Source organism: Homo sapiens, chromosome 16 (assembly GCF_000001405.40).
Source record: "Homo sapiens chromosome 16, GRCh38.p14 Primary Assembly".
In the NCBI taxonomy this organism is placed as follows: domain Eukaryota; kingdom Metazoa; phylum Chordata; class Mammalia; order Primates; family Hominidae; genus Homo; species Homo sapiens.
The window spans coordinates 31,715,167-31,728,151 of NC_000016.10; the positions used below are offsets into that span (position 1 = coordinate 31,715,167).

The window sequence follows — 12,985 nt, forward strand, 5'->3', positions numbered from 1 at the left end:
ACAAACCTCAGGCACCTTGGAGAAGGGGAGAAATTTAAGCAACTTTGGTTAACACATATTTTGTTTTGACCATCGAAGATAAAACTCTTTATTTAATTGCTTATGAGGGGGAAAAAAAGGAAATAGGAGAGTTTGTGGCTTTGTGATACCTAAAACAGGGAGCATCATCTAAGTCATAACAGGAAGAAGATTCTTTGCAGTAAGCTGCTCTTGAAGAACAAAAAGGAAGGGGGATTTCTTTCATCACAGCTGCTTCCCAGGGTTAACTACCTACTCCATCTTTTCCCCACTCCTTTCTCTTGCCCTACACATCTCTTCCATTAGGCTGAGTTGTATCTTTTATAATAAACTGGTCAATGCAATTACAGTCTTTGCTGAGTTCTGTGAATCCTTGTATAAAATTAATGAACTTGAGTAGGGTATTATGGGAGGCCCTAACTTACAGGCAGTAGCTCAGAAGTATAGATGGCCCCTGGGGAATTGTGACTGGCATCTGTAGAGGGGCAGTGTTGTGGCACTGAACTCTGAACTTGTGGGGTCTGTGCTGCCTCTGGGTGCTGTCAGAATTGAGTTGTTGGACAACCAGTTGGTGTTGGAGAATTGGCTGGTGTTCAGCAAACTCCACACAGTGTCATAAAAAAGATAGCACAGGGACCTGGGCTGGAGAGAGACTCTGGGTGTCTCCAGGAAGGGAGGCTGTATTCCCCTGCACACAGACTGTCACCCTACACATTGTCCTGTGATTCCACGTCTCCTCCCAGGGTGAGAAGCGACTGAGGACAGAAAGGGAAGAAGTTCTGAGAACAGACCCCTGCCCCCACTGTGCTGCCACCACATAATTCCCACCCACTCTGAACACACCCACTAGGCACTGGCGTCGCCATGCCCCTTTCAGGACAAGACATGACCCTCAGGAATTGTGCCCATAGCACCTTTGCTCCTAGAGTTTCCTGCCAAAATTCCCATACAGGTGCCTAGAGGACTCCTGGCTTATCCTTGCCCCCAGACCCTGAAACTGCAGCAGCAACCCAGTCCCTCCATCAACCTAGGCTTGTGGACCACCCAGTCATAGTCTCATCTGCCTGCATGGACACAGGAGTAAGTCAGAGCATAGCCTTGCCTGGGCCAGTATCTGTAGCACAAACCAGTCCTTCCACCAGTTCTGCACTGCCCCCCATGTGAGAGTTCTTAGTAGCACCTTCCCTTCTGCCTTTTAACTTCCCCACAAACCCTGACAGGGTCTCTCACTGTGTCGCCCAGGCTGGAGTGCAGTGGCATGATCATGCAGTCTTGACGTCCCTGGGCTCAGGTGATCCTCCCACCTCAGCCTCCCCAATCACTGGGACTGGAGGCATGTGCCCCCCACACCTGGCTAATTTTTGCAATTTTTGTAGAGACAGGGAGGGTCTCAATATGTTGCCCAGGCTCATCACGAACTCCTGGGCTCAAGTGATCCACCTGCCTCTGCCTCCCAAAGTGCTGGGATTACAGGCGTGAGCCACCATGCCTGGCCCACAAACCCCTTTTTATGTGCATGCGGTGTGTCCAAGGCAAATCCTCAGGTGCCTGAATCTAGCGCCTGCTGGAATTCAGATGTCCATTAATTCAAGATTATGGCCCTAGATCTCCCAGTTGTGAGAACAAATACAAATTAAAAATATGAGACTTAACTCTTCTTGAAAATAAGGGAAGACATATTTCTCTCCTTCTTTTTCTTGAATCATTTACTTTAGAGAATTTTTGTATGTAAGTTTTTTTCTGCCTTTTGGAAATATGTCTAAATCATTGTAACAGCTAAACAGATCTTTTGTCTTTTGTCAGTCAGTCTTTGTTTTTTTTTTTTTTTTTTTTTTTGAGTCTTGCTGTGTTGCCCAGGCTGGAGTGCAGTGGTGCGTTCTTGGCTCACTGCAACCTCTGCCTCTTGGGTTCAAGCGATTCTCCTGCCTAGCCTCCCAAGTAGCTGGGATTATAGGTGCCTGCCACCACACAGGGCTAGTTTTTGTATTTTTAGTAGAGATGGGGTTTCACCATGTTGTCCAGGCTGGTCTCAAACTCCTGACTTCAGGTGATCTGCCTGCCTCGGCCTCCCAAAGTGCTGGGATTACAGGCGTGAGCCACTGTGCCTGGCTGTCAGTTTTTGATTCGGGACATTCTTTCTCTAGGACTGGGAATCATTGATTTGAACTATAGGTAGCAAAGAAGATAGAGCCGTATCTTACAGTTTCTTTAGGAGAGCAGGCATCTACCTTCAGGCCCCTGGCTCCAAGTTGCAAATGTACCTACCTGTCTTGAAGACATGAAGTTTATTTTTCCTTTAACTATATAGCCAAATAAAAACCACAGATGGCCTCCCAATTCCCAGGTGAATTTAGGATGAACTCTTATCTGACAAATGGTGCTGTCAGGTCTTCTATTGAGGACTAATTATGGTGACTTTTCATGAGTGAGTGTTTTTCCAATCTCTTAGCAGATTGCCTGTAATGTCCTTCACATTCTGGTCTCATTGTGTCATAGAACAGTTTTCTTTCGTTTCTACCATTGTGCATCATTTTTCTCATGATTCTGTTTTTAATTATATTTCCCAAACACTGAGAAATGTAAGGTGCCCACCAGGCCTCACTCTAGAGGGGATGTTCCCTCTAAGACTTCCTGTCACAACCCACATTTGTGCAGCAAAGTGCCTATTGCCCCGAAAATCTGCAGGCAGAATGGTCTTTCTGCTTGTTTGGAATCTTTAATCCCTTCTAGAAGAGTTTGGCCAGATTTCTACAAAAATAAGTTCACAGGGCATCAGTTAGCCATTCCAGCTCTGTCTTTCCATGCCCCTGGCATCTTCAGACCTGAAACCGATTCAGAGACCATGGGGGCTGGAAACCAACCAGGCACACACATGCATTGAGTAGGCCTGAGAATCTCAACATTCCCCTCATCCTCTTGCCCAAATGCCCATGAATGTGCAGAAGGTGCGTGCCACTTCTCTGCCCCTCCAGCACCTAAATCTGTAGCTCCAAATGTTGAACCCAGGTCCTGGGGTTCTCCAGGATGTGTGAGAGCAGAATTCCTGAGGGGCTGTCTCCTCTAGTTTTCTTCACAGCAACACCCAAGAATGCAGAGCCAGGTTGATTCCACCTGGAGTCTGCACATAAAGGCTGGTCTCCACCTGGGATCCACAAGACAGGGCCAGACTTTGGACTGAGGATGTATAGAAAATCCAGGGGACATTTTCTGCATTATGAGAGATTGACATAGACCTTGTAAAGCCCTACTTTTTGTGTGGGGTCTTTTAAGTTTTCCAGATCTTGTCCAGTGAGCTGCTGCAGTTCTGTGAGGGCCTTCTGGTCTAAGCAGAACATGGTGGCAGAATCTGTAAGTGTAAAGCAGCACCTTAGCAGAGGGAGGGCAGGGCCACAACTGTCCAGAGCCGTGAGTGAAGCTACACCTACCTGTGAGCTGTGTTACTGGAGTAGGGTAATCTTGTCCTTTCTTGTACCCAAGAGTTAGCTGATCAGGTATAGGTAATACTACACGTGGATCCAGAATCTGTGGCTCCACTGGGGCAGTTCCACTTTGTATCCTGGCCCCACAGAGTCAGCCTGAGTCTCTCCTGCCCAAATCACTACTGGGGCATCAGTACAGGATCACCAGGAACTCCCTCACCAGCACCTTGGAGTCCTTGGGACATTTGGTGATGTCCTGTGCAGACTGAGGTCAGGCTGACAACAGGGTCTAATTTCTTTCCATCTCAGAAGGAAAGGAATGCATCATCCAGGATTTGTTCCTCCACTCACAGAAGGAATCTCTTTATTTGGTATCCAAATGGGATTTGCTCCAGTTTTCTAATACGTGGACGAAGAACAAAGAGGAGTTCTGGAGACTCATACTGATAGGTAAACCAATTGCTTCCATTTCATATGGCCATTAGAAAAACATTTGTAGCAGCCATAGTCCCTACCATCTGGGAACTTTCAGTCTAGAGCAGATGGATAATGGCCAAATTCAGCATCATGTGATCCGGTGCAAGCACGGAGGTATACAGGGAACTTGGGCTTGATTTGGGACACTGTCCTTATTTGACCTTGTGAGTTCTGATGTCACAATCTGAAGGGCCACCCATGGACAGAAGAGTTGTTATTATTATTTCTATTGATTTTCTCTTGATTTGCTTTTTAATATAATTTTCCCAGAAGGCCCTACATGTTTTGATTAAATTGCTTGTTAATGGATTTACAAAATACTTAAGGATGAAACAAACAGTTAAAATCAGAAAAACTCTGGGAGTCAAGTTCTTGTGGTCAAAAATCAGAAAAACTCTGGGAGTCAAGTTCTTGTGGCCAGGCTTAGGAAAGACAGGACTTAAATCAGCAACATAGAGATGGGAAGCCTAGGGCCTGACCCGTGTCCCTAGCCTTGCTCTGCCCCAACCCTGCCCAAATGCACCCTCTTCTGAGCTTGGTTCAGGTCTGGCCCCACCTTGGAGCCTACCCTCACAGAACTGTTTGTTGGAGATCAGACTTCTGAGTGGTTGCTCTTGCTGGTTCTCCAGAGCTAGTGCTCACAATTTCCCCAAACCCAAAAGCAGTTAAATGGGAGCAAAGGACAATATGGGGGCCTGAATTTTTTTCTTCATTGAGAACAGTGTTTCTAGAGACATCCCACCTGGCAACCTTTTTCCATTCCTGCAGACCCAGTAGTTGCTTCACAAGTAGTAACAAAGTCAATGTAAAGACTACAGTGAGAAATCCTTAAGAACTAAACTTCACCCTTCTTTTCCGTATCTCTCCCATCTGTCTATAGTTAGCTTTTATAGTGACAGGGAAACAGAAGAAGAGAGAGAAAGGCTAGGCCATTATCTAAATCCTGCTGGGAATTATGGGATACTCAGGACCCACATCCCAGGGGTTTATATGGCTTAACTCACACCATGTGATGTTGCCAGCACAGTGCATACTGTGAGCACACAGTACAAGCTCAGTAAACACTGCTTTAATGCATGTATCCATGCTGTTTTCCAAATGCTGACTTAGATGTTACTGTCCTCTCCAGCCTCTGTAGACTTTAAATGGCTGGCAAAGGATGTGATTTTTCAGGACAGTGGTTGGTGGTCCTCGCTGTGAATGAAAAGTATTTGCGTTGTGATTAGAGTATTGGGTGTAAGGGACCCTGTGTTTTGTGCCCGCTTCCTCTAGCTGTGTGCTACTGATTATGGGTCTTAAGCCAATTCATGGAACTTTTCCAAACCTGCAGAATCACAGTACTTAGCACGGGCCCCAGAATACCAAATGATGTGTATGCATATTGAAGCTTGAGAGGGAATGCTTAGTTAAGTGATTCTCAGCTCAGGCTTCTAAGTAGAGTCACATGGCCAGTTTTAAGAAATATGGCCACCTGTATGTTCCTCCACATATTCTGTTTATTATTATACCCAGACTATGATTTACTTTTTTCCCCCACTAATATACAACGATTATGGGTCCATCAGTGCGTGAGCATTGATACCAATTCGTCTCATTACAGTCGATGCTAACTTCATTCACCTGGTTCAGGTGCTCTCTGCCAGATTCCTTCACTAGTTATTTTTCTCTTTGTTGTTAATGTGTTTCTAGGAGGGAGGATTTACTGAGTGATGCATGTAAACCATCATGTTTAATCCAGAGACTGCCATTTCTCTTTAGTTTCCCTTTGCTTGTGGGTTGCTTTGGAGAGTGAAGGCTCTCACATTTGTTGACCGTAAATACTGGTTTTTGAAACTGGAAATTCTGAAACAAGCCTCACTTCTGTAGGTTTCCATTTTAATTTGCTAATTTCACAAGCATACACTCCTTTATTCTCTGTATTTTCAGAGAAAGATAACAACAATTAACATATAATTAATATATCTACTGTCTTAAAATTCTAAAATATAACAGCACTTAGAATAAATAAAAACTTGGGGAAAAGAACTAGACTCAGAAACACAAGCTCTTATTTTAGTTTATGTCATTGAATGTGTTAGTCTTCATAGTTTGTTAAAAAACAGAAAAAGCCATCATCCATATAGTTTTAACACAATTTAAAATATTTCTTAATTAAGAAATGTTCTGTCACTTTTCATGTATGTATAGTTACCATTTCTATGTACGTATGTGCGTGTGACATAAGCATCATTTGATCAGTTTTGTGTTGCTGCCTTCCTGTTTTCATCTTCTTCTCAGTTGTGACACCTGCTCTGAACATTCTTTTTTACTTATCTCTGCATATTGGCCTGTATGTCCCTTTAAAATGAATTCTAAGTTAGATACTGGGGTAAAATAATAAATAAAAAAATAAATAAATATAAATAAATAATAAAATAAGCTCTACTATATACTAGATATTTGGCAAAAAATTTTTTTTCAGGCTTGAGACAGAGAGGGGAAGGGTCAGCAAAATATTTTTATTAAAGAGGAAGAATAGTATTATTTCTCATATAGATTTTTGTGGTTTTTATCAATACATGAAAAACTGCTAGGATGACATCTAGTAAATAGTAAGTGTTCAAAAAGGATTCTACTATTCTTGCTATTATGTTATAACCTGTAAATTTCATAAAACTCTCAATTCCACATCATCCCTGAATTCTTCGTTCAGTGTTCAACCTCTCTGCTATTCAAAAGTGTGGCCTCTGGACCTGAGGCATTGGTGTCACTGGTAAGCTTGTTAAAAATGCGGAAACGCAGCCCCAGCCCCAGCCCCAGATCTCCTGAATCAGAATCTGCATTTGAACCAGTTCTGCAGTTTATTGCTGAACACAATAAAATTTCAGAAGTATGCCTCTAAGTCACCATGACTTTTCCACCTGAGAATTATATACAACTGATTGTGGATGATGTAAATATAGACTAAAAAATGTATACTCCTATGTTGATGCGTTAGTTTTTTGTTTTTTGTTTTTTTGTTTTTGTTTTTTGAGACGGAATTTCGCTCTTGTTGCTCAGGCTGGAGTTCAGTGGTGCAATCTTGGCTCACTGCAACCTCCACTTCCTGGTTCAAGTGATTCTCCTGCCTCAGGTTCCTGAGTAGCTGGGATTACAGGCATGTGCCACCACGCCCAGCTAATTTTTTGTATTTTTAGTAGAGATGGGGTTTCATCATGTTGGCCAGGCTAGTCTCGAACTTAGGTGATCCACCCATCTCGGCATCCCAAAGTGCTGAGATTACAGGTATGAGCTACCGCGCCCGGCCTCGATGCCTTAGTTTTATACTTTATATTCCATATAGGCATAGTATCTACACTGGTTTTGTGGATTTTGTATCATTCTCTTTCCACAGAGTTAGAGAATACATAGAAAATATTATTGTGTTTAAAAGTATCTTATTGAATATTTCAGGTCACTCATATAAATCAGTCAGTTTTCTTAGCTCTCTTATTTCATCTTGGTTTGTCAAGTGATGAACTCTGCCCATGGCCACATGGTCAATGTGCTATTTATTTTTATTTCAGGGACTGTTGACATTCAGGGATGTGGCCATAGAATTCTCTCGGGAGGAGTGGGAACACCTGGACTCAGATCAGAAGCTTTTATATGGGGATGTGATGTTAGAGAACTACGGAAACCTGGTCTCTCTGGGTGAGGATAACTTGCCTTTGGAATATCTAATATCTAATAACTAAGGGTTTTATTTCTTTCCTTTGTAGAATGTCACTTGGGAGCTTATGCTTTATATGAATGAATTCAGATTCCTGTTTCCAGGAAAAAAAAATTGTGGGTTTGTTGTAGAAAAGACTTCCTAATGTTTGATCTTGACATTTGCCTTCTTTCTTGAGGTGATGTAGAAGCTTCACTCTAGTTTAGTAGTGATTCTAGAAAATTGAGTGACATAAACTATCATTGCCCACACTTTAAAATCTAATTCCTTCTCCTTATTTTTGATTTAGTCATACTTGGAAGTGAAGCTCAGGATTCCTGTGTTTAAAATGCTTCCTGAATATTCTAAAGAAGCTGACAGGAAACAGTATTTGGGGAAGTAATTTTCTAGGATCCTCTATAATGTTCCCTCTTTACTGAGTATCCTACTGAGCTGGCAATTAAAGAACTCCCAGCAAGAGTCATGTGACTTTTTCTAATAAAACAGGTCTCGCTGTCTCTAAGCCGGACCTGATCACCTTTTTGGAGCAAAGGAAAGAGCCCTGGAATGTGAAGAGTGCAGAGACAGTAGCCATCCAGCCAGGTAGGTGGGAGTGAATGAAGTAGATGACATGGGCGAGAGGTCCAGAGATTAAGAAAGAACCAGACCTTGAAGTGTGGATTGGGAAGTTCTCCAGTGGAAATGATTTTTGAGACACCTGGGTTTATTTCTTTCTCTTGCTGCTGTCACAGAGGGACATCTTCTGTCTCATATTCTTAAATTATCTGATTATTCTCCTTACCCTTCTGTGATCCACCATCAAATTCACAGTGACAGCCAAAGTGCTCCCCTTGGCCTGTGAGGGCCTGCGTGATCTGACTGTTCTTCCATTGATTTGGGGGCTCTGGGAAAGTCTGTGCATGTTTCTACCTCTATGTGAAACCACTTCTAAAGTTCTGGTTTTGCCTCATGTCAGAAGTGTGTGAGGCGAGTGATGGACAGTAGGATTTTTTTCAGAAGTCCCAGGAATTCTGTGGATAGATGTCACATATTTTCTGGTATATTAATTTCTAATCCTATGGTGGTTTCCCAGATGATCCTACAAAAATTGAGACTCAGTAATTCATCAGAGTGCAAAACATCTTCCTAAATATAAAAAAAAATCTGATTCTGTATTTCACTTCAACTTTTCATCTTTCCTAGCCTAAACTAAGATTAGAAATATAATCTCTGTATGCACAAATTCCACAGATTTAAAATCATTTAATATATTACTTACTATGTAGAATTCTTAACTAAATGAATGTCTATGGGAAGCTTACAACATTGTCCAGTATATAGTGAACTTTCAACTCTTACCTTATATATTCATAACATTTTATAATTTTGTCTGGTTAACTGTGAAGCTTAATGAGAATGTGTTCTTTATGTTCGTTTTCTTTCTTTTCCTTTTCTTTTTTCTTTTCCTTCCTTCTTTCATGTGGATTTTTTTCCCACACTTGTAAATTATATATATTTAAGAGGTGCATCCTGATCGTTTGATTTTATATATGTATACATTGTGTATTGATTAATACAAATAAATTAATTAACATATTAATCATCTCACATAGTTGCCAGGTTTTTTGTGGAGAGAACATTAAAGATCTACTGTGGGCCGGGCGCGGTGGCTCACGCCTGTAATCCCAGCACTTTGGGAGGCCGATGCAGGCGGATCATGAGGTCAGGAGATTGAGACCATCCTGGCTAACACGATGAAACCCCGTCTCTACTAAAAAATACAAAAAAAAAATTAGCCGGGCGTGGTGGCGGGTGCCTGTAGTCCCAGCTACTCTGGAGTCTGAGGCAGGAGAATGGTGTGAACCTGGGAGGCGGAGCTTGCAGTGAGCCGAGATCGCGCCACTGCACTCCAGCCTGGGTGACAGAGAGCAAGACTCCGTCTCAAAAAAAAAAGAAAAAAAAAAAAGATCTACTGTGTTAGCAAATCTCAAGTATATATGAGTATTGTAAACTATATTCATAATGCTTTACATTAGATCCCCAGAATTTATCTTTTAAATGAAAGTTTGTACTCTTTGACCAGTATCTCCCCAGTTTTACCACCTGTCAGCTGTTGGGACCCGTTCTACACTTTACTTCTATGAACTCACCTTTTTTTAGATTCCACAAATAACTGATATTATACAGTATTTGTATTTCTCTATCTTATTCAATTACCATAGTTCCACCTGGTTCATTCATCCATGTTGTCAGAAATGGTAGAACTACCTTCTTCATTATGCTGAATAATATTCCACTATATATTTTGAATAATCAGCTGTGAACATAGGGGTGCAGATATCTCTTTAACATACTGATTTTATTTATTTATTTATTTATTTTTGAGATGGAGTCTCACTTTGTTGCCCGGGCTGGAGTGCAGTGGCGCCATCTTGGCTCACTACAACCTCCGCTTCCTGGGTTGAAGCTATTCTGCCACCTCAGCCTCCCAAGTAGCTGGGATTACATGCTTGTGCCACCCCGCCTGGCTAATTTTTTCGTATTTTTAGTAGAGACGGGGTTTCGCCATGTTGGCCAGGCTGGTCTCGAATTCCTGGCCTCAAGTGATCCGCACACCTCGTCCTCCCAAAGTGCTGAGATTACAGGCGTGAGCCACTGCTCCTGCCAGATTGTATTTCTTTTAGGTATATACTTAGAAGTGGAATTGAGGTTCATATGGTACTTCTATTTTTAATATTTTGAGGAGCCTCTATGCTTTTTCCCATAATGGCTGGATCAATTTACATTTCCACCAATGGCATACAACGTTTCCTTTTCTCCACACTGTCACCAACATTTGTGATCGCTTGTCTCTTTGATAGTAGACATTCTAACGGTATGAGGTGATATCTCATGATCTGATATCTCATTGTGTTATCTCTCTGTAAATGTGAGGTGATGGCTCATTGAGGTTTGGTGTTCATTTCCCTGATGATTAATTATATTCAGCACCTTTTCTTAAACCTGTTTGCTACTTTTATGTAATCCCTGGAAGACTTTCTAGTCAGGTCCTTTGCATATTTTTAAGTCAGATTTACTGGCAACTGAGTTGTGTGAGATTCTTACATCTTTTGGATATGAAACTCGTATCAGATATATTTTCTCCCAGTCCTTAGGCCAGTCCTTAGGTTGCCTTTTCATGTTGTTCTTTGTTTCCTTTGCTGTGCAGGCAATTTTTAGTTTGATGTAGTCCCGCTTGTTTTTGTTTTTGTTTTTTGATTTTGTTGATTGTGCTTTTTTGGTGTGAAATCTAAAAAATTAGTACCAAGGCTGATGTTGAAGAGTTTGTTCCCTGTGTTTCTTCTAAAAGTTATCCAGTTTCTGGTTTTACATTTAAGTGTTAATTCTTTTTGAGTTCATTTTTGTATATGGTATAAATGTTCAATTTCATCCTTTTGCTCATAAATATCCACCTTTTCCAGCATCATTTATTGAAGAGACCATCCTTTTCCCTTTGTGTATCTTGGTGCCCTTGTCAAAGAGTGCTAACTCTATACACATGGGGTTATTTTTGGTTTCCTTGTTCTGTCCCATTGGTCTATATGTCTTTTTAGGTCAATATAATACTCACTATTAGTATAGCTTTGTAATAGTTTGGAATGAAGAAGTGTGATGCCTTCACCTTCATTCTTATTTCTTATGATTGTGTTGGCTATTTGTGGTCATTTGTGGTTTTATAGAAATTTGGAGGCCAGATGCAGTGGCTCACACCTGTAATCCCAGCACTTTGGGAGACCGAAGCAGGTGGATCACTTGAGGCCAGGAGTTCAAGACCAGCCTGGCCAACATGGCAAAACCCCGTCTCTACTAAAAATACAAAAATTAGCCAGGTGTGGTGGTGCATACCTGTAATGTCAGCTGTTGAGGAGGCTGAGGCAAGAGAATTGCTTGAACCCAGGAGCGGAGGTTGCAGTGAGCCAAGATCACGCCACTGCACTCCATCCTGAGCAACAGCGAGACTCTGCCTCAAAAAATATATATAAAATAAAATAAAATAAATTTTAGAATTTATTTCTATTTCTCTGAAAAGTGACATTGGAATTTTAATAGGGATTACACTGTATCTGTAGATCACTTTGTGTAGTGTGGACATTTTATCAGTATTAATTTTTCCAGTCCATGAACAAGGGATATCTTTCCATTTATTTGTGTCTTTTTCAATTGTATTCATCACTGTCTTACAGATTTTACTGAGCAGATCTTTCACCTCCTTTGTTAAATGGAATCATAAGAATTTTATACTTTTGATGCTATTATAAATTGGATTGTTTGCTTAACTTTTTTTCTCAGATCATTAATTGTTAGTATATAGAAATGCAACTAATTTTTGTATGGTAATTTTGTGACCTCAGCTTTACTGAATGAGTATTAGCTCTAACTCTTTTTGTATACTCTTTAGGGTTTTCTGTATATAAAATCACCTAATCTGCAAGCAGAGAAAATTACAATTCTTCGTTGCTGATATGAGTGCCTTTTATTTCTTTTTTTTACCTAATTGCTCTTGTTGCAGGGCAGGTGAGCCCCCAGATTGGGGCTTATCCTGGGAAGGTTCACGGCTTCACTCAGGAAGAATTCAAGTGCAAGATAGTGGTAGAAGAAAACAGCTTTATTGAGCTGGCAGTGTTGCAGCTCTATGACTGCTCCTGTGGAGCGAGGCTACCCTGTAGGCAGTGTGCTGAGAGGAGCAGTTCTGCAGTCATGTACTTATATACCCACTTTTCATTACATGCAAACTAAGGGGCAGTGTTTTTTCCCTTCAATTTTTTGGAAGAATTTGAGAAGGATGGACATTAATTCATCTTTAAATGTGTGATACAATTCACCCATGAATTCATTTGGTCATGGGCTTTTTCTCATTGGATTTTTTTATAACTGCTTCAATCTCCTTTCTTATTATTGGTCTGTTCAGTGTTTCTGTTTCTTTGTGATTTAATCTTGGTGAGTCATTCATTTCTAAGAATCTGTTTCTTCTAAGTTATCCAATTTGTTGTCATATAATTGTTCATAGTAGTCTCTTATTATTCTTTGTGTGTTGTCAGTTGTAATGACTCATCCTTCTTTCTTTTATGTATTTATTTATTTATTTATTTGAGACAGGGTCTCACTCTGATGTCCAAACCAAAGTGCAGTGGCATGATCATAACTCACTGCAGCCTCAACCTCCCAGGCTCATGTTATTCTCCCATCTCCCAAGTAGCTGGGACTACAGGGGTGTACCACCATGCTCAGCTAATTTTTGTATTTTTTAGAGAGAAGGGTTTCATTATGTTGCCCAGGCTGGTCTCCAAATCCTGGGCTCAAGTGATTTACCTGCCATGGCCTCCAAAAGCACTGGGATTACAAGCATGAGGAAGTGCACCCA

General features: G+C 41.2%; 1 protein-coding gene across 18 annotated transcripts in view; it reads left to right on the plus strand.

Moving 5' to 3' along the window:
• The window catches only part of KRABD5 (KRAB domain containing 5), a 48,322-nt gene that overhangs the window by 1,923 nt on the left and 33,414 nt on the right, over positions 1-12,985 (plus strand). For 9 of the 18 annotated variants that reach the window (XM_047433621.1, NM_001130913.2, NM_001394177.1 and 6 more), the window contains 2 exons: positions 7,460-7,586; positions 8,092-8,187. The exons of 3 other annotated variants lie outside the window; for them this stretch is intronic. In XM_047433621.1, the coding sequence (XP_047289577.1) occupies positions 7,460-7,586; positions 8,092-8,187 (223 nt within the window). Of the gene's footprint in view, positions 1-3,746; positions 3,888-7,459; positions 7,587-7,894; positions 8,188-12,985 lie in introns of all 18 variants that reach the window. 6 more of the 18 variants (NM_001394186.1, NM_001394183.1, NM_001394181.1 and 3 more) reach the window with 4 other exon arrangements.